This window comes from Homo sapiens, chromosome 1 (genome assembly GCF_000001405.40).
Source record: "Homo sapiens chromosome 1, GRCh38.p14 Primary Assembly".
Lineage (NCBI taxonomy): Eukaryota > Metazoa > Chordata > Mammalia > Primates > Hominidae > Homo > Homo sapiens.
The window spans coordinates 218,537,527-218,565,191 of record NC_000001.11 but is presented as its reverse complement, the minus strand read 5'-3'; the positions used below and the strand labels follow the sequence as shown (position 1 = coordinate 218,565,191).

The 27,665-nt window shown below is 38.3% G+C and overlaps 1 non-coding gene across 1 annotated transcript; it reads left to right on the top strand.

The window, feature by feature from the left end:
• The first annotated feature begins 23,292 nt into the window (after positions 1–23,292).
• Positions 23,293–23,502, top strand: LOC124904666 (small nucleolar RNA U3). The gene has a single exon (XR_007067172.1). It is a non-coding gene; the product is annotated as a small nucleolar RNA U3 (small nucleolar RNA).
• The last annotated feature ends 4,163 nt before the right edge of the window (positions 23,503–27,665 follow it).

The following is a 27,665-nucleotide window of genomic DNA, read 5'->3' as shown; positions in this document are numbered from 1 at the left end:
TCCAACAAACTTTCAATAGTTTTAGTTTCCATTGATGAGTTTTGCCCAAATCAATTGTTTTTATGATGGTGGCAAAATGGTGGCTCTCAAATTCTGTCATTTATTCTATTAGTTTTTATCTAACGGTGAATAGAATATAAACAAATGAACAAAAATACAGTTTCTCCCTTCCTTTGTTTACTTATTTATATTTATTATTTATTTATATTTTCAGTATCATTATGGACTCTCAATTGTCTTATTCAGTGCACTGTAATTCATTACTGTCAGTCATCCTTCTGATGCTCAAATTTTCCCTGATTTAACTAGTGGAAACCGCTCTGAGCTGGCTTCAGTGTCCTGTTCATATAAACCATTTTCTAATTTTCTCACACAAGAAAGGACTTGTTTACTTTCTTTTCTCCAGGCCTGAGATTAATCCTTTCTCTAAGTAGTAAATATCCTAACATGATATATTTAGTAATCTATTACTCCCTGATTTTTTTTTAAATTACCTCTGTCATTTATTGAGTTGTTACATATATTGAGGTCTGTTGGTCTGTCTATACTTTTATATATATCACACTGTTTTAGTTATTTTACTTTTATAATGTTTTAAAATCTAAAGTTGTCATATTATGAATGCTTAAAATTATTTTAGTTGTTTTTATTAATTTATCTTTCCAGGTGAACTTTAGAATTCTTTTTCTCACTCATAAAATTCCAATATAATTTTGATTATAATGACATAACCAATAAGTTAATTTGGAAAAGCCAACACTTTGCAATATCCAGTCCTCTCATAGAAGAATGTAATGTCTTTTTATTAATTTAAATCATTGTTTAAAGCACTCAGAGAATTAGAAAAAAATAAAGTCTGGTATATTTATTGGTAAAGTTACTCTTAAGTATTTATTTCATTGTTTTCTTTTTGGGGACGGGGGGGAATGGAGTTTTGCTCTGTCACCCAGGCTGGAGTGCTATGGCACAATCTCAGCTCATTGCAACTTCTGCCTCCTGGGTTCAAGCAATTCTCCTGCCTCAGCCTCCTGAGTAGCTGGGATTACAGACGCGTGCCACCACACCCAGCTAATTTTTGTGTTTTCAGTAAAGATGGGGTTTCACCATGTTGCCAGGCTGGTCTTGAACTCCGGACCTCAAGTGATCTGCCTGCCTTGGTCTCCCAAAGTGCTGGGATTACAGGCACAAGCCACGGCGCACAGCCTGTTTTGTTTTTTGATTGCTAATATGAATAAGATTTTTCCACTATAATAGATGATTATGTCAATTATACAGAAAACTACTAATATTTGTAACTGAGTTCACCTTATGAATTCTTATAAATTTTATAGCTTTTCATTTGTTCTCTTGGGATGTGAGCTGTGAAATCAAACTATCTACAATGATTATTTTCTGCTCTTCCTGCTGCCATTATCTTTAAAGACAAACTATAGCTCATTATCATTTTATTTATAATGTTGAGTGCAGAATTGAGGTATCTTGCATATAATTGAGATCTCAAATCCATTTATTTAAAATAGCCAAAAAAGTTACATGATTTTATTTTATTATTATTATTATTATACTTTAAGTTTTAGGGTACATGTGCGCAACGTGCAGGTTTGTTACATATGTATACATGTGCCATGTTGGTGTGCTGCTTATTTGAATTATGTGGGTTATTTAATGTGGTCCCCAGCAATACGGTTTCCACGTGCAGATACAGACTCCAGCTTCTCACAGAGCAAGTCCTTCAGGTACATTTTCCTTAATGAAAATGAAGAAGGTAGCTGGGAATTATTTTCATGGAAATCTAATTTTTCAAGAGCTTTGGTGTGCATTATCCATGTTGTCCAAGCATCTGCAACAAAAATTTAAGGTCGAACTGTCCTTCTTGGGACCCTTTCTCTTGCCAAAAACTGTATGTATGTGTTTGGGGTATAGAGCCCAATTTAATGTCAGCCAGAGTCAAATTTAATTAGGAGAACAGACTAACTGGAAACAAAGTATCAACTACTCCAGGATCAAGTATACATATTTTAAATGTCTAATATTGTAGAGTGAAGAGCCTTTTACTTACAAGGTTAGTATAACACTATAGCAATGCATTTGTGCCCTTTCTGATTAGGCAAACCAGGGTTTGAATCTTAGCTTTGCTGCTCATTAGCTGTATTTTTTTAGCCAATATACTCATATTAGTTAAGATTGAGTTTGATTCTGACCCAAAATATCTGTATCATAAACTAGATAACTTCATTTCTCTTTCATGTAAAAGCCTGGACTTAGTTATTAAGAGAGTAGCATAAAGACTCAGTCTCATAGTGACCTTAGGGACAGTTTTGCCATCCAGAGGGTGAGGTCCTCCTCCTCATGGTTCAAGATGGCATCCAGAGCCTCAAGCATGGTATCTGCATTTCAGATAGGAGAAAGAAAAAAAAAGAAGAAGAAGAAGAAAGAGAACACAGGCAGACTTTGTCTGTTGAAGTTTTCTAAAGCTGCCACACAACAACACAACTATTGACCATAGTATAGCTATATGACAACACCTAATCGCAGGGAAAGCTGGGAAGGGTAGTTTTTTTTTGTTTTTTTGTTTTTTTGGTTTTTTTTTGTGAGATGGAGTCTCGCTCTGTCTTGCAGGCTGGAGTGCAGTGGCGCAATCTCTGCTTACTGCAAGCTCCGCCTTCCAGGTTCACGCCATTCTCCTGCCTCAGCCTCCCGAGTAGCTGGGACTACAGGCGCCCGACACCATGCCAGCTAATTTTTTGTATTTTTAGTAGAGACGGGGTTTCACCGTGTTAGCCAGGATGGTCTCGATCTCCTGAGCTAGTGATCCGCCCGCCTCGGCCTCCCAAAGTGATGGAATTACAGGAGTGAGCCACCGCGCCCGGCCTGGGAAGGGTAGTTTTTATTCTAGGTGTTCAGCTAAAAATCAGAGATTTTATTTAGGAAGAAAGAAGTAATGGATATTAGTAGATATATATATATATGTTTGCTTTTGTCATTATGTTTAACTTCTATTTGCCCCAGTTCTTTGCCTGCAACCTGAGTATAATAATAGTAATCTCACAGTATTATTATTGTAAAGATTACCTTAACCTACACAATATTTACAAGATGCTTAATCTTTTTATGTTGTTGTTGTTGTTTTGATACGGAGTCTCGCTCTGTCGCCTAGGCTGGAGTGCAGTGACGAGATCTCGGCTCACTGCAAGCTCCGCCTCCTGGGTTCACACCATTCTCCTGCCTCAGCCTCCCGAGTAGCTGGGACTACAGGCGCCTGCCACCACGCCCACCTAATTTTTTGTATTTTTAGTAGAGATGGGGTTTCACCATGTTAGCCAGGATGGTCTCGATCTCCTGACCTTGTGATCCGCCCACCTCGGCCTCCCAAAGTGCTGGGATTAAAGGTGTGAGCCACCACGCCTGGCCTAAGATGCTTAATCTAATATCTTAAAACAATAAGCATTCAATACATTTTGGCTATAATGACCCAAAATATCACCTCAGTAATACATTCTTATTGGCCTCTACTACAAATATGTTTTTTATAATAGAAACAAAATATCTGAAGAAGCACTATGAATATCAGAACTCTACAGCTAAAAGTGATGGTTTGTGATGCCCAAATTGACAATAACATACAGTGAGTAAACTAAAAATCTGGGAGGGTAAGGGTAGAGCCTCTGCATTTGGTCACACAAATTTGCCAGGTGATTGGCAAAACGAAGCTAGAACCCCATGCATCCACATTCATTTTTCAAACCTCTTTATCCTTGACTCAGCTCCCTTTCCTTCCACTGTGGCAGATATTTGAGTACTGGCCAAAAACCTGGAACACTTTGAAATGTAAAACTTTCTCACTGAAATATTAAACTCAGCGAAGGTACCAGGAAATTCTGCATGTATAGTATACAATGTCAGGATATTGGTTAAGATATTCTTGCTGTTTCATTTAAATTTAGGGAGGCAATTATTGAGTTTACCAGGTTTAAATTTTAAACTTTGTCTTTATAGCATGATTTATAGTCCTTTGGGTATATACCCAGTAATGGGATGGCTGGGTCAAATGGTATTTCTAGTTCTAGATCCCTGAGGAATCACCACACTGACTTCCACAAGGGTTGAACTAGTTTACAGTCCCACCAACAGTGTAAAAGTGTTCCTATTTCTCCACATCCTCTCCAGCACCTGTTGTTTCCTGACTTTTTAATGATTGCCATTCTAACTGGTGTGAGATGGTATCTCATTGTGGTTTTGATTTGCAATTCTCTGATGGCCAGTGATGATGAGCATTTTTTCATGTGTCTTTTGGCTGCATAAATGTCTTCTTTTGAGAAGTGTCTGTTCATATCCTTTGCCCACTTTTTGATGGGGTTGTTCGTTTTTTTCTTGTAAATTTGTTTGAGTTCATTGTAGATTCTGGATATTAGCCCTTTGTCAGATGAGTAGGATGCGAAAATTTTCTCCCATTCTATAGGTTTCCTGTTCACTCTGATGGTAGTTTCTTTTGCTGTGCAGAAGCTCTTTAGTTTAATTAGATCACATTTGTCAATTTTGGCTTTTGTTGCTATTGCTTTTGGTGTTTTAGACATGAAGTCCTTGCCCATGCCTATGTCCTGAATGGTAATGCCTAGGTTTTCTTCTAGGGTTTTTATGGTTCTAGGTCTAATGTTTAAGTCTTTAATCCATCTTGAATTAATTTTTGTATAAGGTGTAAGGAAGGGATCCAGTTTCAGCTTTCTACATATGGCTAGCCAGTTTTCCCACATGCACAAGTATGTTTATTGCATCACTATTCACAATAGCAAAGACTTGGAACCAACCCAAATGTCCAACAATGATAGACTGGATTAAGAAAATGTGGCACATATACACCATGGAATACTATGCAGCCATAAAAAATGATGAGTTCATGTCCTTTGTAGGGACATGGATGAAATTGGAAATCATCATTCTCAGTAAACTATCGCAACGACAAAAAACCAAACACCGCATGTTCTCACTCATAGATGGGAATTGAACAATGAGAACACACGGACACAGGAAAGGGAACATCACACTCTGGGGACTGTTGTGGGGTGGGGGGAGGGGGGAGGGATAGCATTAGGAGATATACCTAATGCTAAATGAAGAGTTAATGGGTGCAGCGCACCAGCATGGCACATGTATACATATGTAACTAACCTGCACATTGTGCACATGTACCCTAAAACTTAAAGTATAATAATAATATAAATAGATAAATAAATAAAAATAAAAATAAAAAATAATTAAATGACAATTAAAATAGTAACTTCAAAATGAGATTAATGGAATAAAAAAACAAAGAGAATAAAAAAAAATTTAAACTTTGTCTTATCTCCACAGGTTATTTGTTCAGTCTTCATACTATTTCCATAAAAATAGTGCAAGAAAACAACCAGTGTGATCAAGTTAAATATATGCATATTTAATTTGAACATTCTATTGTAGGAAAAAAGGTTAGTTTTACTGACCAAGAGAAAGGGATTTTAAATATAACCAATTTATTGAATCTAAAACATAATTACTAAGAGTTTCTATAAAATACATTCCTTTTATAGAATCACAGGTTAAATTCTCTCCAAAAGAGGAATGAGCTTGCTTTGCCATAGAGGCCTAAATTTGAATGAGTCTCCTGTTCTGGTCCAATAGCAACTACTATGCTGACTGGATCCCTCAAACAGAGGGGACCAAGAGATTCTCAGAATAGCAAGATATACTTAGTCTCTAGAGAGGTTTAGGAACAATAGACAAGAGGAAGAAGGAACTGATGGGGAAAAAAAAGCTGCATTCTGATGACTAGGAATTGTGGACCTTCTATTAGGAAGAAACTATATTCTTAGTTTCATCATCTCATTCTTTTAACCCATCTACATTTCTCCTTACAAATTTCATTTGAGATTCACTGCTTCCTGGAAGATTTCATCATTTAATGTAATGATGATAGTGGTAATGGTAGCAGCAGTAGTAGCACCTACCATTTACTGAATGCTGTTATATTCCTGATATTTATCAAGGTATTTTTCACACATAAACTTACTCATTTCATCTTCAGAGCAATCCCACAAGATAGGCCTGATTTTGATGCTCATTTTGCAGATATGCCGATTGAGGCACAGAGAGATTTAGTGACTTGCCCAATGCCACACAGCAGGTTAATGACAGACCCCAAATTTAAACCTTGGGTTTAATTGGGGTCTAGGTGCTCTTATTTATTGGTTCTAGGTGCTCTTATTTATTACATTACATTATCTTCTTATATTATTTACTTTTTTCTCTGTTGTTCTTACCAATTAAATGTATTTTCCTGGTATCACAATAATTTTCACTTACTGATTATTTGCTCTAATTTTTAATACATATATTATTTCTATTATTCATTACTGGTTTTGATTCAAGGGAAAAGACAAAACACAGTAGCACCTAGTATAGTACATTGTTTTGCACATCGTACATACCAAAATATTTGATTGCATGATGGACAAACATCTGAAATGGAATATTTTCCATTTGAATTTTCTGCCTAACAGGAAACAGGATTGAAATCTGCCTCATTCATATGAGGATATTTAGGAATTTTGTGGGGGGTGAGGGGGGTGACCTGAACTGCTTAGATTTAAATGGCCCTAGAGCTAATATTCATGGTTAACAGCCAAGGCTTTGGTCCTTTCTCTTCAGTTTACAGAAACCCTCAAGCAGTGAAAGTCAGTTTCTACCCAGGAAGTCAGTTCTTTGTTATTTTGCATCTCCGTAGCTCACACTAAAGAATTTGCTGGACCGTTTCATTCTGCTTTCTGTAATCATAAACACAGGCCTTTTGGGGAGACCTTTGATAAACAACAGTAAAATACACACACACACACACACACACACACACATATGTCTATATGTATACATACATAAATGTATGTATGTATTCTAAAGAAAACAATTCTGAAAGACAAAAGAATTTTAGGGATAATTAGTTCATTAGTAGCATATAGAACAGTAAGAATAATTTTAACAAGTAAATGTGTATTTTATTGTTTTTATAAGAGATTTCACAGATGTATATTATACCAGAATGTTGACTTGATTATTCATGAATAAAGTATCCAAAATACAGCTCCATTGTTCTCATCAGCCCAGGCCTGGAGGAAACAATATGAAATGATGCCAATTGGCTGTGAGCCAACACATGACCGAGGCCTGTGAGCACTCAGAGTGAACCCAGAGGCAGGTGCACGCGAGTGTCCTGCTGGCCCCTCACTCTGATCCTGTCCTGCCCTATGGCCATTGATCAGCCTCTGGCGTCTGTCCTGTCTGCTAGTCCCCTCTGCCACAGAACCTTGCACATAATAACATCTTTACTGCACCGAGACTGCTGTCCACAAATGCCTCTGTGGAGATAGCAAATGATCACACAAAAGAGAAAGAAACAGAATGGGTTTCAGTCCCTAGGCGGCATAGCAGTGCTGACAAAACTTTAAACTATATTTCATGGAAGTGACACCCCAAAATATATTTATCTACTGCCTCTTTGTAGCCTTACAGGTGCCAAGTACTGGACATCTGAAGACTTGCAAAGACTCCATAGCAAGCAAAGAAGGAAAATCTGATTGTTCTAGAAGCATATGCACAGCCGACCTGGCCGGAGTCCTCCCAACCACAGACCTCTTGAGAAACTTGCATAAGCCACAGAGCAAAATGTGTGTGACATAGAAGTATGGTTTTTTCTAAAAAAAAAAAAAAAAAAAAGAAAGAAAGAAAAGAAAAGAAAAAAAAAACCTTCTGTTTTCAGTAATATACTTATCAATCATAAATCACAACATATAACGGAAGTAAGTGGTGCCTTTTAAAAAAATCAGATATAGTATGTAAAATTCTCAAAAATGTTTAGATGCCCATGCCTCTCCATAAACACAGGTTTGATGAAGATGATTTTCTGGCAAACACATATTTGTTTGCTGCACACAAATAATTGTCCCATAGAGAATTTTAAGACTTTGTGCATTTACAACTCCAAGTATCAGTTCTTTCACATCAAATGGAACTGGCCCAGAAAGTGACTGACACATGACTACTTTTTCATGGAGAGATGATCTTCTTGATTGCTCTATCCCAGAAAACCTTTCTTTCAAATCAATGGAATCCCTGATGAAAAATAAGCATTTGTTTCCATTCTGAAGCTACTTAAGGTGTGCATTCTACAAGTACCACTCATAACAAAATGCAGTTTTTAGTGAAGGTCTCTAAGTTATATTAGGGGACAGTATGTGGTCCGCCAGAAGATTATAGCACATAAATTAAACTAGAGCCAAAGACAGAAAAATGTAGCAAAAAAATAAAATAAAGTGTGCAGAATGTAAAAGCAAGGAAAGAGCAGAAAATTACAATGTTGGTAAATGCTTAGACTAAAGGTAAAATAAATATAGGAACTAGTTTATTCACTTGAAGATGAAGTACTCTTTTAAATCTCCCTGTTTTAAGTTAAAGCAGCTAGAAGAACGAGCAACAGTCTGGATGATTCTTGTATAAGAGGATATAATAAACACATAAGGAAAATAAGGTAGAAAAGTAAAATATGTAGTGTATCAGGATTTGCAGTGAGGTCAACAAAGTTTCATAAAAAGATCCTCATAGTGAGTATTGCGGCTCCCTAAAGGAATCTGAAAGCCTATATGACATCCATTAACCAGTAAGAGAAGGGGGAAAGGAATGGGGGGAAGGCAAAGAAAAAAATGCAGAATGTGGGGTGAATTAGTAAATTCAGAACTCAAAAGGTGGATAAATGAATAGGTGAATCTATCAATCAATTAGGTAGGCAACCAGTAAGACACTGATCTAGCCAGTTCTGACTGCAGAACTATTTTCAGCTTCCTGTATGGTAAGTAACTGGCAGTCAAAGGTAAACCCATATTTTCAGGGTATGCATGCAGCTAGTTATTGTGTTTGTTTTAACTGTTCACATTCAGTTAATAATTTATGCATTCTGTGACTAAGCTGTTTTTAAAAGTTTTTTTATTTGAAGGTAATAAGACATCTAATGTTGATTATGATAGAAAAAAATTCCAATTCAGAGGTGTAGTATGGGCAAAAGCCTAACTGTGGTGGGCTTAAAAGAGGGTAGGGAGGGAGAAATCAAAGACTTTGGTGTAGATAACTATTTTAAGGAGCTTGCTTTGAAATGAGCAGAGAACTAGGACGAATGAGGAAGAGGCTTTTATTTTTTTAAGTGGAAAAAAAAAGTATGCTTGGGGCCGGGCACGATGGCTCATGCCTGTAATCCCACGACTTTAGGAGGCTGAGGTGGGTGGATCACTTGCAGTCAGGAGTTCGAGTCCAGTCTGGCCAACATGGTGAAACCCTGTCTCTACTAAAAGTACAAAAATTGGCCGGTGTGGTGGTGCACACCTGTAGTCCCAGCACTCGGGAGGCTGAGGCAGGAGAATCACTTGTACCTGGGAGGCAGAGGTTGCAGTGAGCCGAGATGGCACCACTGCACTCCAGCCTGGTGACAGAGTGAGAATTTATCTAAAAAAAAAAAGAAAAAAGCCAGATGGATAACAAACTATAGAAATGATCCCTGAAAGTATATCCATCTGACAAAGAGCTACAAGGAACTTAAACAAATTTACAAGAAAAATACAAACAACCCCATCAAAAAGTGGGCAAAGGATATGAACAGACACTTTTCAAAAGAAGGCATTTATGCAGCCAACAAACATATGAAAAAAGCTCATCATCATTGGTCATTAGAGAAATGCAAATAAAAACCACAATGAGATACAATCTCATGCCAGTTAGAATGGCGATCATTAAAAAGTCTGGAAACAACAGATCTTGAAAAGGATGTGGAGAAACAGGAACGCTTTTACACTGTTGGTGGAAGTGTAAATTAGTCCAACCATTCTGGAAAACAGTGTGGTGATTCCTCAAGGATCTAGAACCAGAAATACCATTTGACCCAGCAATTCCATTACTGGGTATACACCCTAAGGATTATAAATCATTCTACTATAAAGACACATGCACATGTATGTTTATTGCAGCACTATTCACAATAGCAAAGACTTGGAACCAACCCAAATGCCCATCAATGATAGACTGGACAAAGAAAATGTGGCACATATATACCATGGAATACTATGCAGCCATAAAAAAGGATGAGTTCATGTCCTTTGCAGGGACGTGGATGAAGCTGGAAACTATCATTCTCAGCAAACTAACACAGGAACAGAAAACCAAACACCACATGTTCTCACTCATAAGTGGGAGTCGAACAATGAAAACACATGGACACAGGGAGGGGAACATCACACACTGGGGCCTGTTGGGGGTGAGGGGTTAGGGGAAAGATAACATTAGGGGAAATACCTAATGTAGATGACAGGTTGATGGGTGCAGCAAACCACCATGGCAGGTGTATACCTATGTAACAAACCTGCACGTTCTGCACATGTATCCCAGAACTTATAGTAATTTTTAAAAAGTATGCTTTATGCTGAAAGGAAGATGCAGTGCATTAGAGAGGAAGATATAATGCAGGAAGAGAAGGAGACAATTTCTAGAGGCATGGCATTGAGTAGGTAAGAGAGGTAGAGTTCTAAGGAGGAATGCCTGAGTGTATGTTAGGGTGGGAGCTTGTGAAGTCTTCTTGTCATTCTTGCTTTCTCCATAAAATAATAAGTGAGATCTTCAACTGAGAGTGAGGAATGAGGAGGAGGTATTGGAGATTTGAGGAAGGAGAAGACACAAAATTGCTATCTGGAAGAGTGCAAGAGAGAAAATGGGATAGGGATAGTGTGATTGACAGATGGCATTCCACTTCCACTTGAGGTTTGTGCTCATAAATTTAACATGAGACTCATGGTCCAATAGGACTGCAACCTTTTCCTTGTCTTCATTTAGGAGCATGGGTGCAAATGTGTAGTAGGCAGAGCATTGTAATTAGCCAGGTTTGAGATTTTTGTCAAGTGAGTATGATGAAGAAAGAAGGGGCGAGGAAGTTGGCCACGTATACAAGAGAGTGATTATAATCAACTGCCATGGACTCTAAACTGGGTAAAGTTAAGAGTGAACATGAATAGAATGAGGGAGGTGGAGAAACTGTAAGTTTGAGTGGATGAGGGAAGTTCAAGACTTGTTTGTGTTTGGGGAATAGAATCAGTGAGCAGGAAAGATAAGAGGTGATGGAGAATTAGATGCTGAAAATTAAGATCATGAAAGGGTTGCCAGTTTGGGTAATAACAAGGTGTAGAGGAGGGAATGTCTGAGATAGAAACAAGTTTACTGGAGGAGAGAAGGCTAATGATCTGAAGTACAGGGTGCTGGGAGGATTGTCTCTATAGGGATTGAAATCCTCCCCTCAAAAAGATAGTAGTACTGTTGGGAAAGTGACAGTGATCTAGAACTTTACTACTTGAAGAGTGGTCCAGCAGCTTCCATATTACTGGGTTCTTGTCAGATAAGCAGAATCTGAGGCTCCAATGCAGAACTACTGAGTCAGAATCTATAGTTCAGCAAGATCCCCCTAGACACTCATGTGTTCACTGAAGTTTGAGAAGCATTAGCCTAGAAACTAAATGTCTTTGTGAAATGAGGGGTAACCTAGGTTTAGAATGACTGTTACAAGGAGGAGTTGTGGATAGAGTCAATGACAGGAGACTCAAAGGGAAGAGGGATGGTGAATGGTTTGGAGACTGCAATGAGAAGCAAGGAGGCCAACCATCCCACCTCCAAGATGAGTGAAGAGAACAGCCACTAAGTAAAAGGACACAGAGGAGGCAGTGACCGCAAGAGGGAGCCTGGGTTTAATTTAGAACCAAGAACTGAACATCTGGAGGAAATATGGAGTATGAATCCTTGAAAACTCAAGAAAAGGGCAGTGGGTTCCAAAGGGCAAAGTGGAAGGAGTGCAGAGGCTGGGAATGTGTAGGAGAGAGGACCTCACGCTAGTTAAAGAGTATGGGAGTCTGGAGCTTACCACAGTGACTGACATAGCCATAAAGGACATAATGACTTCTTCCAGGTGGATAATGGTGGAGAATCTGAGTATTATGGGACAGAGAAATGTGGGTGTCTAAGGTTGGGGCGGGGTCCTCCCTCTTTACTTCTACTGAGGGAGGTTTGGAGACAAAAAAAAAAAAAGAAAAGAAACAGTTCAACTTCCTTCCACAGGGGAATTGGTGAATGACATTAAATTTATATATAATGAACATTACGGTTCAGTTAAAGGAATGAACCAGGATTGTTTTTCAACACAGCGCATAATGTTGAGTGAAAAAAGCAAGTTGCATAAAACAGGTTAGTTTTGAGACCAAAAATGCAGTTCGATAACACTTATGTAAAAAATTGAAATATAAAGAATAATAGTGAATATTAGTAATGAATATATGAGATATAATGAATACATACTCTTTTTTTAAAACCTGAAAGTGATATTCACTATTTTAGGAAATTGGTTACCTCTGGAAGAGAAACAAGGGGAAGGGGAAGATAGAGTTTTAGCTCTATTTGTAGGACTTTTTTTTTTTTTCCCCACCCCTCGAGACGGAGTCTCGCTCTGTCGCCCAGGCTGGAGTCCAGTGGCGTGATCTCAGGTCACTGCAAGCTCCGCCTCCAGGGTTAAAGCGATTCTCCTGCCTCAGCCTCCCAAGTAGCTGGGATTACAGGCACACGCTACCACACCCAGCTAATTTTTTTTTGTATTTTTAGTAGAGACAGGGTTTCACCGTGTTAGTCAAGCTGGTCTCAAACTCCTGACCTCGTGATCCACTTGCCTCAGCCTCCCAAAATACTGGGGTTACAGGCGTGATGTAGGGCTTTTTAAAAAATAAAAAGAGGGCTGGGCGCGGTGGCTCACACCTTTAATCCCAGCACTTTGGGAGGCCGAGGTGGGCGGATCACGAGGTCAGGAGATCGAGACTATCCTGGATAACACGGTGAAACCCCGTCTCTACTAAAAATACAAAAAAAATATTATCCGGGCGTGGTGGAGGGCGCCTGTAGTCCCAGCTACTCCAGAGGCTGAGTCAGGAGAATGGCGTGAACCCAGGAGGCGGAGCTTGCAGTGAGCCAAGATCGGGCCACAGGATTCCAGCCTGGGTGACAGAGCGAGACTTCGTCTCAAAATAAATAAATAAATAAATAAAATTTTAAAAAACAGATCTGAAACAAAAGTATAAAATATTAACATCTGTTCTTAGTGCACACATGAGTGTCTGTTATAATTATTTGAAGTGTTTTTCATTTTAAAATATTACACTAAAATGATAGATAATGAAGGAGGGATTATATTTTACCACTGGGCCTTGGAAGATAGACATTGAGGTTCTTTCAAAATAATGTCATGGCCATTTTATCCAGCTGCCGCTTCCTTAAGTTATAGCCATACAGCCCATCTCAATCCTACCATATTTGTCTCTCTTCCTCTCCTGCTTCAGAAGTGTTAAACAGGGTAAATGCTTCATATTTTCTTATGCAGAGCAATTTAGTTTTTAAGGTGTTCTGCCCTCTCCTTCCAAACTCTTCCTGGGACATATTATTTTGCAACTGTATGGTATTTTAGTATGTAAATGGTGTTTTGCCTTACCTAGACAGTTTCCTTCCTGAAAAGGGATTTGATGTCATTTGTTAAGTGGTAAGGGGAGGGGGAAGGTAATAACTATATAACCACAAAAAAATCACAAATACATATGTAAAAGCCAAATGTTCCATCCTTTGCAAACAAACATACTGAAACCACTTCTTCCGTCTCAATAGGGTGTGAGATTTTGAGCTTATTTTTGGTGATGGTGATGATAGAGTTGAGAAATATTTGGGAGACCTTTTGCTGGAACTAGTCATGGCCACGGGATTTACATTTTTTCTCAGTACAGCATCAAGGATGAAATACATGGGCTTATAAGTCAAAAACCAAAATCAAGTGAATTTATTCATCTGCCTTTGCAGGCATTCACACAGAGCACAGTTTATAAGCTGAAAGCCCCACATCTGCTGAACAAAATTCCCCCCTTTGCCTAGCTGAAACTGTCCTCCATGTATCAATCAATGGAAGAGCAAATGCCAGCCATTGAGATTTATCGACATGTCACAATGCAGAATCAATTACTTTAGTTTGAAAACATTTTTGTCTGTTTCATCACAACCCAATAATCAAATTTCTTTTATAAAACCTTTGAACTTTATTTAAACCCAAAATGTGAGCAGTATGACTGCCAAAATAACAAATGCAATTTTGAACTGCATTAATATGGTGTCCAGATCAAGGGGCAATGTCATATAGCAGTGTTTCTCAATTCTTTTGTCATTATCACTCTCTAAGGGGCCTATTTATACATGTCTTTATAATTATCACTTGCCCCATGAAATGTTTTGTGTATATGTCTGGGATTTATATTTTAAAAGTATGTTTTTTTGCCCACCAAGAACCAATTTTTACCCCCTTGGGAATGATAGCTCCCCTCTTGAGAATACATGCTGAATGGCAAGGCCTCCGATTATATTAAACTTACACATTGATTTTAGAACCTATCTTTATCCCCCTTCTTGTTTAATTCTCATGCAACACAAATAATTAATATATATTATAGAGCTTAATATTTAATCACAATGAAGTAATATTTCAGGCAAATAGAACCAATTGAGTATTTTCTATCCATGCTTCATTCATCACTGGTGATTTGATTATTACCTTAAAGACAGAATGTTTTAAATGTGCAGGTGTCTGTATATCAACTTTCTTTGTTTTGCATTCTTTAGTCAACATAGTGGTTCTCAAATTTTAATGAGCAGAAGAATTTCTGGACAGAATTATATACAATATCTTATGTAATCTCTATTATGAGTCAGTTAAGGGCTTTTTCAGAGGTAATTTTGGTTATTCTCAATTCTCACCTTCCAGCCTAATTTTAGAACCTAACAATTACATGATTCCACACAATTCTATACATTCTTCAGAACTTAGTGGAGCCTGGGTTCAGTTCTGAGCACTGGTTTTAAGAGAGACAATCACAAACTAAATTATGCTTTCCTAGAAGATCACAATCATAGCATGAAAAAAAAAAAAGATTGTATTAACTAGGGAACAGTTAGCCTGAGAAAAGAATGCTTAGGGAAGCCCTAATAACTGTCCTCAAATATTTGAATAACTAGCAAGAGGTATTAAACATTAGAGTGAACAAGTGAAAGATAGCGCAATATGCTTGCTACTTTGGCATAAGGATTATTAAGAAGCAGATATAAGAAAAGCTCTTGCCCTCATCAGAGACAGTGCTAGACCCTTCTCAGTCCAAAGGTGGGCACCAGAAAAATTTACATAACAAAACTTTGCTAACATTAGCCCTTACTTACCATTAGTTTCCCCCATATGTTTGCCTTCTCACAATTTGTTACCTCGACAAACTCAAAGTCCTTTTCCTTTGTCTTGTCACTTCCCTCAAAAAACTTGTATTGTGTTTTGTTAAGATGCTATATAAACCCAAGTTCTAACTACCCCTTTGAGTTGCTCATCACTGGGTGCTCCCACATATATGCACAATGCACATGCTAATAAACTTCTGTTTATTTTTTTCTTGTTAATCTGTCTTTTTGTTTTTGGATTTTGTTGTTGTTGTTGTTGTTGTTGTTGAGACAGAGTTTTGCTCCTGTTGCCCAGGCTGGAGTGCAATGGTGCGATCTTGGCTCACCACAACCTCCACCTCCCAGGTTCAAGCTATTCTCCTGCCTCAGCCTCCTGAGTAGCTGGTATTACAGGCATGCGCCACCATGCCCGGCTAATTTTGTATTTTTAATAGAGACGAAGTTTCTCCACTTTGGTCAGGCTGGTCTCAAACTCCCGACCTCAGGTCATCCGCCCGCCTCGGCCTCCCAAAGAACTGGGATTACAGGCGTGAGCCACCATGTCTGCCCTAATCTGTCTTTTAGTAGTATAACTTATAGGATACAGTCAATGAGCCTGAAATGGGTAGAAGAAAAACAGTTGTTCCTTCTCTACACTAGTTATGAGCTGACACTGGAGTAAGACCACCATGGTTTGAATCCTTTGGCCTTACGAAGGTTACATAACCAACTCATGCCTTAATTTCCTCATCTAAAAAAATGTGGGTATTAATAGAATTTACTTTGTTAGGTGGACATTTTATCCATGGAGTTAAAGTGAAGATTAAATGGGTGAATATCTCTAAAGTGCCAAGAACACTGGCTAGTAGATATTATGCACTATCCCAGGAAATTGCAACAGCTGTAAGATACAGATTACTAATTTCAGGATAAACTTCCTTGCAATGTAGTGAACGCCCCTTTGCTGGAAGCTGTCAAGGAGAAACTGGTTGACAATCTTTTCAATAATAGAGTGAAACAGAATAGATCATAGGCCGAGGGCCAGGATACATGATCTCTCAGAACCCATCGAGTCTAGGACTCAAGGCATATGCAGAACCACCTCCCTAATTTTCTCCAAGCTTAAACTACTTCAATATTTGGTCTGAGGGAAGTTGTTTGCAAACCTGACCAATAAACAAAATCCCACACGGCAGTGGCCTGAAAATCTTCCCTATGCAGTTAGTGATGTGTCCCCATTCCTGTTCAACCACATCGCTGAGCACATTGGCTACCTGAACGGTGGAGCTGAGTGACTACGCCCCTTCGTCCTTACACTGAAAATTCTTTGTTAGCCACCCAATGACTGAACAACTGCCAGTTCCTGCTGAAAATATGCCTCGACCTTAGATGGACTATGTTTCCCTTGGTGCTAACAATGAAGAGCCTTCACTACTAGAAAAGAAACTATATCGAAATCCTTCTTGTGATACAGCTACCCAGCGTCCATACAGCATATTAAAAACAACAAACCAAACAACTTTATTTTAAAATATATACATAGCTCCAACTAACTGGGGGCAGGCAATTATTTCCACTTAATTTCTAAAACTGATCTGACTAGTTATTAATATGTCACCTATTCATGACCGCAGACACAAATTTTATAAATCCAGTTTGAAAATGATTAATCTAATGGACTTTTCTTGTTTGTTTTCTTTTTTATCTTTTTTAGTACTTGACAATTCTTTCATTACCTACCTATTGAAAACTCTCTTTCCCCTTGACTTAGTGACTCACAAGTCTTACATTCTCCATCCTTTAAATGCACCATCTCTGTTTCCAGCCCTCCCTGCACTCCTCCTGGCGTGGTCATTAGGCTTCTGCTCTTTGCACTCTTCTCCCTGTGAAGTTATCCCTTTGTCTTAACTCCAAATACCATCAGTCTCAAGCAATCTAAAAAGGCTCCTTAGGGAGTGATAGTGACAAAAGGTTTGAGAAGCAATGCTATGCAACATTGCTCCTTTCTTCGGACACCATATTAATGCAGTTCAAAATTGCATATTGTTGTTTTAGCAGTCATATTGCAAGCATGTTGGGTTTAAATAAAACTCATTAGTTTTGCAAAAGAAATTTGATGATTGAGATATGATAAAACAGACAAAAATGCTTTTTTTTAACCTAAAGTAATTGATTTTGCATTGTGACATGTCAATCCATCTTAATGGCTGACATGTGTACTTCCAACGATTGATGAATTGAGGCACTTTTAGCTCTGGCTTTGACCCAGACACCAGTTGGAGAGTTGTGGTTTCAGGATGTCTCCATGCAAAGGCTTCTCCCATGACCCCAACCAAACATGCCTAAAAATAATGCCATTCCTACTCACTTTCCACTACTTGAATACTCTTTCTACTCAGATCTCAAAACCCAACTGTCTTTGACTCTTTTCTTCTCATTCATCTTAATAGTTTCCCTGTAGCCAATGAGCTACAATGTCTCACTGACATTTCCCATAAGCCACCACTTCCCTGCCTTTTCCTTGTATTCTCATTTAAACTTTCACAGTCTAAGGTCTGGATTACAACAAAAGTTCAACTGTTCTTGTTGCCTCTGGCCTTCTTCCTCTCAAATCCAGCACATTAGCCTCCTAAAACACAAGTTTTTACTAATTCATTAATTCTTCATCTAATAAATGTTTATTGAGCACCAACCTATATGCCAGGAAGACACTCCAGAGTGGTAGCCACACAAGAGGTACCCAATAAATCTTTGTGGAAAGTTTGTAAAATTCTTATATTTATTTAGATTTAGTGAAGATTCTTTGAGCAACTTGACACTGCTGATGCTTATTAGAGGGGAGTTGAATCAAATGACCTGGTTTGCAAACTTTCTTAGCATAACAGTGTAACATATTGAAAATTGTTCCTCAGGGGCCACTGTGAGAGCCTCACACTCCATATTAATTCTTCAATGTCCCCTTCCAGTTTGCCATGGTACAAAGGACAAAGTCAAGGGAATGTGAGAGGAATAAAGGTGTTCTTATTCTTGTTATTTATTTGCCTAGCCCATACCTCCACATGGGGTCAGGCTTACAAATGAAAGAAGTATGGAGTTGTTATTTCTTAAGGTTCATCAAAAAAGCCTTTGACCAAAAATATATCACCTTCTGGGCCAACTTCATAGTGAAATTTCACAAGTTATTTTTTGGAATTAAAACATCAAGAGCGCAGCCTAAAATGTTATTAGGGAAACTACATATTAAACCATGGTCTGCCTTTAATTTCTTACTACCCAATAAGCTATGTTCAACAACACTTCAATTATTTGTAGTCTCTTGCACATCTTCACTTTCTTTTCATTCCTGCTGCTGCCATGTGAGGTCAGGCTCCACAAGGACTAGCATGCAGATTTGTGCAGGTTGAACACTGAACATCTCCAGGGAGTACCATTACCATAGACTACAAAACAACCTATACTTCTCAATCAGCCTTTTCTTCTTTCATTTCTATTGTAGTTTAAACAAAATTTACTTATCTAGCATAATGTATATACAGTATTTGTATAAAGTATAAGGCCCTTCTTTTCCAAACAGAATTTCCATAATATAAAACTTCAGTCCTCTTATTCCATATAGCTCCACTTGCTGTTCACCTACTGGTCTCATGTTGAACATGATGACATTTGATCAATCAGTTCCTCTAACCCAAATATTCTTTCCTTCTCTTTGTTCTCTCCCAATTCACATCTGTCCTCTAAGTCCTAGTCTAAATCCTGTCTCTTCCTATAAAACCTTCCCAAACTATTCCAGCTCAATGTTCTCTCTCTGCTGTACTCTTCCAACAAATGCCATACAGTCTACTTATTTCACATGTCTTTTGCAGAATTAATTTTTATGTATGTATTTTCTTTTAAAGAAATTGCAAACTGATCAATGACAGAAGCATGATTTGCTATTATTTATATGTTTTTTATTAAAAACCAGACAATGTTGATATTGAGAAAATTCAGTGAGCTGCACATTTAAAAGCATCTTTCTGTGTGCATAATATAATTCAATAATTTAGGCCGGGCATGGTGGCTCACACCTCTAATACCAGCACTTTGGGAGGCAGAGGCGGGTGGATCACTTGAGGTCAGGAGTTTGAGACCACCCTGGCCAAAACAGCAAAACCCTATCTCTATTTAAAAAAAATAGAAAAAGAATTAGCTGGGTGTCGTGGCACATGCCTGTGGTCCAAGATACTTGGAAGGCTGAGGCAGGAGAATTGCTTGAACCCAGGAGGCAGAGGCTGCAGTGAGCTGAGATCATGCCACTGCACTCTAGCCTGGGCAACAGAGTAAGATGTCTCAAAAAAAAATCAACAATTTAACAAATAGAACAATGTTCTCTTATCATGTGATGGTGTCTCCCAAGAGTTAATGTGTTGGAGAGAATATTTCTGCCTTCATGAATGAACTAATATCACTATCACCAGAGGTTTTATTATCACAAAAGTGGCTTCGTTATAAAAGTGAGCTCTCTTTGGCTCTCTTGCTTTTGCCTTCTTCACCACAATATGCCCTCTGCCTTACTATGACACAGTAAAAGGCCTTCACCAGATGCCAGCACAGTGCTCTTGGATTTTCCATCCTCTAGAACCATGAGCTAAATAAACTTATTTTCCTTATAAATTACCCAGTCTATGGGATACTATTGTAGTAACAGAAAACAGACTAAGACAAATACATATAACTGATACCAAGTAACTGATTGTTAGTTCAAGTCAATGGAATAAATATGAAGGCATATAACACAGAATTGAGAACATTCAATTGAAGTGGATATGAGACTCATGAATTGAACATAAAAACTTTTTGAATATTAATTATTGCTAGGAGGACAATATCACTTGAACTGCTAAATTGGAAAAGTTAGATAGATAATGGGAAAATTTATTGCAAAAATATTTGTTGAGTATCTACTATGTACAAGTTCTGTTCTAGGCCCGGAACAAAATATCCATAATTAATGGCCCTCATGGAACTCACGGCTAATGGAGCCTTGTGACACTATATGTTACAGAGTTTCAATCAATAACTGTCTTTGAGTTCAGCCAAATTGTGTATTCAGACATTCACAGTTATCATTGAGAAAGTTAGAAGTTTTAAGCCAGTTTTATAAAATTTGTAAGGGTTTAAACTAAAATTTGCAGTATAACAACATAAGGAACAAAAAGTAACAACTTGATTGCTATTCAGAACTGTTCTAATTTATGAGAACTGAAGGAAACCATTGGCTTCCAAGGACAGATTTGAAGCTGCCAAATATGGAAGAACCTAGATTCTCATTGCACCTCAGACTCAAACTGGCTGTGAGACCCTGGGGAAGTCACCCAATCTCTCTGAGCCATATTTCTCTCTACGTAAAATGAGGATACTGGACTACATAATCTCAAAGAGAACTTCTATTTCTAGTGTTCTAGGAGTCTTTATTTGCTGTGGGCTGACATTTACTATAAGACTGCTCTGTCTTGGATCTCACTCATTAGAAGTTAATAGGGAGCCAAAAAATCATCCACCTTGAAGATGAGATTTCCCAGGCAGTCAGGCAATGTGTGTCCATCAAGGGCAAAAGACTGTGCTTTCTCCTCTACAACATGCTTCTCTCTATCAAATTTGATAGACAACGTTTGACAGAGATAGTTTTGAATGCCTAAAAGTAAGAATATGCACATCTTATTTCTACAGTCTCCTGAGGTGGTTCCAAGGTGCCCCTATGGCTACGGTTTGAAGAAGACCAAAAAGTGCTTATAACACTTGTAGCATCATTTTCAGGGGTTTTCTGTGCACCCTCAGCAGCAAAGACATGGCAGGGCCCATCTTCAGTGGTGGACATGCTGGTGCCAGGGCTGTCACAAATGCCCAAGTACACAGTTCTACAGAGACACTTTGAACTAAGGGGAAGCACAGGGCCTGACAAGGCTATGGGGAATGCCCCCATATAACTCCCCTGTATTTGAAAAACAGAGATGCAAAAATTGAAACTTCTGCTCATAAGTTGGCAGCAGACCTGTGGGAAAAGTTTTGGATGGAAGGAAAGCCAGTGAATATTGATCTTTTGGCTCTGCCTTTTCATAAAAGGCAAAAATGACTCTTCTCTTAATGAAGGATGGCTGGGAGAAGCTTAGAAGATGCACTGATTTGGTTTCATTCTAGTCAGTTTATCTAAACCAGATCCAAATGATCTAAGACTTTCTGGGTTATAAAATGGGACTGGAATTCTTAGGGCAGACATGTACAATTTCCAAGGCTCCCTATTTCTTGTCATCCTTTCAGCAGTGTGGTGCCAGCAAAAACCAGCTAATAGACTCTTATGATCCAAAATTAATTTGGAAAAAAAAATAACCGGCCAGAATTTTTTAACCTAAAAAACAGGGCGGCAATTTAGGTTGGATTTGCATTTTCGGCAAAGGTTCACATTAGTCTTATTTTTATGTTTGTGGATTCACTCAGGTCTAATCTTAATAAGAACAGTTTTAGAGGCCTGGGCAGATTTTGAATGACTGATGGGCACCAATAAAGCTGGAAGAGTGCTAGGGTCCACTGGTAGTTCCGGGAGACTCATTTTAATCACTTCCTTAAACACCCAGGTTTCTACCTAAAAGTGGGTACCTTCCTCCTTAATTACCCTCCTCTTTGGAAAACGTGAAACTGAAAGAATAGGCTTTTGTTAATAAGATTTTTACTAACCCTGAAAAGGTTTAACTTATACTGTGGAGCCTACCCTGACTCTAATTCATTTTATTCTTTTGCTTCTCTGAACTACAATATTTACCACACACTTTACTTTTAAAATTGGTAATATCACTCTTTTTGTGCCCTTATAGTCACATAAGAGACAGGCTAATAGAAACAAATTGATCCAAGTTTGTGTTTAGTAAGATAAAAGTTAGATAGCAAGATGAAGCTTAGGTAGTTAAGATGAAGATAGGTAGTTTGCTTCTTTCAGCTATAATATTTGCCAGAAATTTTACTTTTAAAATTGGTAATATCACTTTTTGTAGCTTATAGTGACATGAGAGATAGGCTAATAGAAATGAATAATCCAAGTTTGTAGTTTAGCAAAATGAAGCTTAGGTAGTTAAAATTAACATTCAATTTGAAATTCATGTTCAATTGACATACAACTCATTTCATTACATTTACTAATCATGATTTTCATAAAAGTTAAATCAGTTAACTTTTAAATTATGTTCAAACAATAATCTACTAATTAAGTTGTTAATGTTTTAAAGAGAGGCATGGATTTATTTTTGATTTTTAAAATAACATCTTTAAGCCAATACTTATGTTAATTCCCAGTTCAGTTTCTTCTAAAATATTTCCACTCTGATAACAAATTGGGGCATACAAATTTGGTAAGATTATTTTTTATTTTTAAAAACTTAAATGTGAAATGGTGTGATTTATATTAATAAAGAAATACCAGTTAAAATGTAATTTTTCATTGGTACACATAGTAGCTAGTTTATTTTATTTTTGTTTTTTTCAAGACGGATTCTTGCTCTGTCATACAGGCTGGAGAGCAGTGGCACAATCTTAGCTCACTGCAACCTCCGCCTCCTGGGTTCAAGCAATTCTCCTACCTCAGCCTCCTGAGTAGCTGGGATTACAGGTGCCCAACACCATACCTGGTTAATTCTTGTATTTTTAGTAGAGATGGGGTTTCACCATGTTGGTCAGGCTGGTCTCAAACTCCTGACCTTGTGATCCGCCCACCTCGGCCTCCCAAAGTGCTGGGATTACAGGTGTGAGCCACTGTGTCCGGCCCAGTAGCTAGTTTATTTTTAATCACATTAAAATAGCATTTAAATGATATATATTTAAATTAATCTTAAAACAACCATCCTGATATACCTAGGACCTACCTACATTTTAGTTACATCTTAATTATCAACCAGATCAAATATAAGTTATCTGTCTTTGTGGAATCAATAAAACTATGCTAAGACTATACTTTCAGGGATTATTTCAGATAAACTTCTAGAGTTTCTCTGAACCTGTAGAGCACCAGAAACCATGAAAAGAGGGTGTAGCATTCTCTCCTGCGTGTGAGGCCGGCTCTTGGTGCTACCTCACTGAAACTGCCATTGCCACGGATGATCATTCTTCTCTTACTCTGAGAGAGAAAGAGAGAGAGAATACAGTCTGAGTGGTTCTCATTTTTTTTTTTTTTATTTGAGACGGAGTCTCGCTCTGTTGCCCAGGCTGGAGTGCAGTGGCATAATCTTGGCTCACTGCAAGCTCCATCTCCCAGGTTCACGCCATTCTCCTGCCTCAGCCTCCCGAGTAGATGGGACTACAGGCGCCCACGACCACGCCCAGCTAATTTTTTGTAGTTTTAGTAGAGACGGCATTTCACCGTGTTAGCCAGGATGGTCTCAATCTCCTGACCACGTGATCCACCTGCCTCAGCCTCCCAAAGTGCTGGGATTACTGGTGTGAGCCACCGCGCCCTGCCTGAGTGGTTTTTATTTTAAAAATAAAATTAAATAAGTAAATAAATAAAACTTTTTGTCTACTTTATAGAAAATCTAGTTCTATTGACAAATTCATACCTATATCTTTAATATACATACACATATCCACATATGCATACACACACACGCACACACACACACCCCACACACACCAATTAGTAAAACTCAAGAGACTGTTGCTTTCTCAATGGTTTATACTCAATATTCCCTAATCAAGTGAGGCTTTGGCATAAAGCACGAATCTCAAGATATCATTCCAAAATATGCAGGAAAACAATAAGAAAATAGGTATGTAAATATTTATTTACCTAAATATGTAAATATTTATATTTATTATAAAGCTGCTTAAATATTGAAACCTCAGAATTTTGTGCTATAAAGTACAGAAAAGGTAGTTAACCATGTATTCTTGTTGTTTATTTTAACGCATTCCTTCATTCTCTGGACTATATTTTTGAGCAGTTTTTGTGGTTGTCAACTGATAAATTGTATTAAACTTCATAGGTATCAGAATGTCAACTTAGCCATTTCCAGAATTTTTAGATCAGCTCACTTTTTGAAAAGGCTCTGTAGCTATTGCCCCATAATTGGTTGTTTCGAAAGGATTCCAGAAGTCACTCTCTTAGTTTGCTTGGACTGCTGTAACAAAATATATTAGACTGGGTAATTTATAAATAATTATAAATTTGTTGCTTACAGTTCTGGGAGCTGCAAAATCCAACATTAAGGCACCAGCAGATTTGGTGTCTGGTGAAAACTCATTCCTCACTGTTGGAGCACAACAGGGCAGAAGGGTGAAAGGGTAAATAAGCTCCCACAGGCCTCTTTATAAAGGCATTAATTTCATTCATGAGGGCTCATGACCTAGTCACCTCTCAAAGCCTCCACCTCTTAATAACAACACATTGTGGAGTAGATTTGAACATACAAATTTTGAAGAGACACAAGCATTCAGACCATAGCTTCCCACCCCTGGGCCCCCAAAATTTATGTCCTTCTCACATACAAAATACATTAATTCCATCCCAATAGCCTTAAATGTCTAATTTGTTCCAGCATCAGCTCGGAAATCTAAAGTCCAGAGTCTTATCTGAATATCATCTAAATATGATATGTGTGAGACTCAAGGTACAATGCATTCTGAGGCGAATTGCTTTCCAGCTGTGAACATGTGAAATTAAACAAGTTATGTGCTTCCAAAATACAATGGTGGGACTGGCATAGGATAGACATTCCCACTCCTAAAGGGACAAACAGGGAGGAAGAAAGGGATAGCTGGTCCTAAGCAAGTTCAAACCTCAACAGGGCAAACAACATTGAATACTGAAGTCTTGAGAAACGTCTTCTCTGACTCCTTGCCCTGCCTTCTGGACACATTGGGGTAGGAGTTGGGCCTCCAAGGCTCCAGGTGGCCCCACCTCCATTACTTTACTAGGCAAAGCCCACACTGCAGCTCTCACAGGTTGGAGTTCAGTGCCTGCAGCTCTCTGAGGCTAGAATTGCATGGTTGTGGCTTTATAAGAATGGGGTTATGGGGGAAGCCCTGCATTCCCAGTTCCACTAGGCATTGTCCTAGTAAGGGCTCTCTGCAGTTGCCCTACCCTCATGGCTCCACTAGGCATTGGAGCCTGGTGAAGGCTGTCTGTGGTGGCCACACTCCTGTGGCAGTTCTCTGCCTGTACCATCAAGCTCTCTGGGTCATTCTTTGAAATCTTGATGGCTCCAAGTGGCCCCACCTCCATGACTTTACTAAGCAAAGCCCACAGCCACACGCCCACAACCAGTGTGCTCTGTGACTGGTGGAGATGACACTGCATGGACACCACCAAGATTACCACTTGGAGGAGCAGCCAAGACTGCACCTGTGCCCACTACAGCTGAACCTGAGGTGACCGAGGAGAAATCCAAGGAGCAGCACCTTGGGGCAGTGCAAGGCAGTGAACCGCAAATGTCCATAGATACCCTGGGACCCTTTTTTGAAACTGTTCTGCTCCAAAGGCCTTGGCGTTCTAGGCCTATAATGAGCAGGGCAGTTCTGACAATCTCTGAAATGCCTTTGGGATTATTCTCTGATTGTGTTGATGAATAACAGCTGGCTTCCTTATATCTATAGTAATCCTCTTATCAAATGTCTGCTTGATCATACCTTTGGTGTTCTCTCCTGAACACACTTTATCATTTTTTATAGGCTGAGAATTTTTCAAAGTTTTAATTTCTGCTTCCCTATTAATTATAAATTCCATCTTTAATTCATTTCTCTCTTCTCACATTTTACTGTCAAGAGAAGCCATGCTATACCCTCAACACTTTGCTTAGCTATTTCTTCTGCCAAATATTGTATTTCATCACTTGGAAGTTTTACCTTCCACAAAGCACTAAGACATGGACAAAATTTAGCCAAGTTCATTGCCACTTTATACCAAGGATCACCTTTCCTCCAGTTTTCAGTAACATGGTCTTTATTTCTGTCTGAGACCTCATCAGAATGGCCTTTAGGGTCCATATTGTTTATGACCACTTGGGTAATTTCTAAGGGGACTGAAGTCTCTTCTACAACTCTCTTATTCTGAGCCTCCACCAGAACTGTCCTTAATCCTCCATTCACAGAAATCTAGGTTTTTTCTAGTATGCACCTCCAAACTCTTTCAAACCCTTTTCATTACCCAGTTCCAAAGCCACTTCCACATTTTTAGGTATTTGTTACAGCAGCACCTCACTTCTGTCTCAGTCTGTTCAGGCTATTATAACAAAATATTCCAGCTGGGGAATTTATAAACAACAGAAATGTGTTGCTCACAGTTCTTACCATGGGAAGTCTACATCAAGAGCAAAGTGCCAGCAGATTCGATGTCTGCAGAGGGCCTGTTCCTCGTACATAGTGCCTTCTGTGTGCTTACATTGTGAAGGAGTAAACAAGTTCCTTCAGGTCTGTTTTATAAGGGCACTAATCTCATTCATGAGGGCAGAGCCTCACAAGGGCCCCACCTCCCAAAGGCCCCATCTCTTAATATCAACACTTTAGGGATTTGATTTCAATATGTAAATGTTGGAGGAACACAAACATTCAGATCATATCAGTCACCTAAGACCACTGTAGATTTTTTAATAGTAAGCATTGTTTCCTCTTTAGGGCGGTTAGAATCTTCCTTTATACTTGAAGCTTCTGAATATGTATTTACACACATTTTATTATGTGAATCTCTGTTTACTAATACAGGCCAAGAAGGTAAACCTATTAGTATCACATAATATCTTATATCTAGGAAGGTTTCTTTGTGTTTTTTATGTCTTTGTTTCTGAATAAAAATACTTATTATTCAGGAGTTGGATCTCCATGAATTGTCCTTCATATGTGCTAACAGTTCTCTCATATTTTTATCTTTATGCTGATTTATTCTGATTTCTGAGATTGTTTCTAAGTTTATTGTTTAATTCATTCTTTAAATTTTCTGTTGTGTTGAGTCTGTTTTTTCCTATTTTAGACATATTTTACTTTCATTAGTGTTTTTGTTTTGAAAAAATTCTTATCTCAGCCCGTTTCAAAATACATGTCCTCATTGAGAACAAGATGTTTTCTAAATACTTCTTATACCTCATTAAATAAACCTATTTAGGAGGAAGCAGACTTCTGAGTAACTAATGCTTTGCTCTTCTCTCTTGTTGCAAAATATTTTCAATGTCTCATATTTTTCTGTTTACTCATTCTTGAGTAACGTAATGAACATGCTCTGAAATGCTGGTTTAAAACCCTCATTCGATATTGTTTTCATATATAGAAAAATACTTAGGCCTGGTGTTGAAAAACAATACATTTAAAGGACTTTACTCTCACCAATGCCT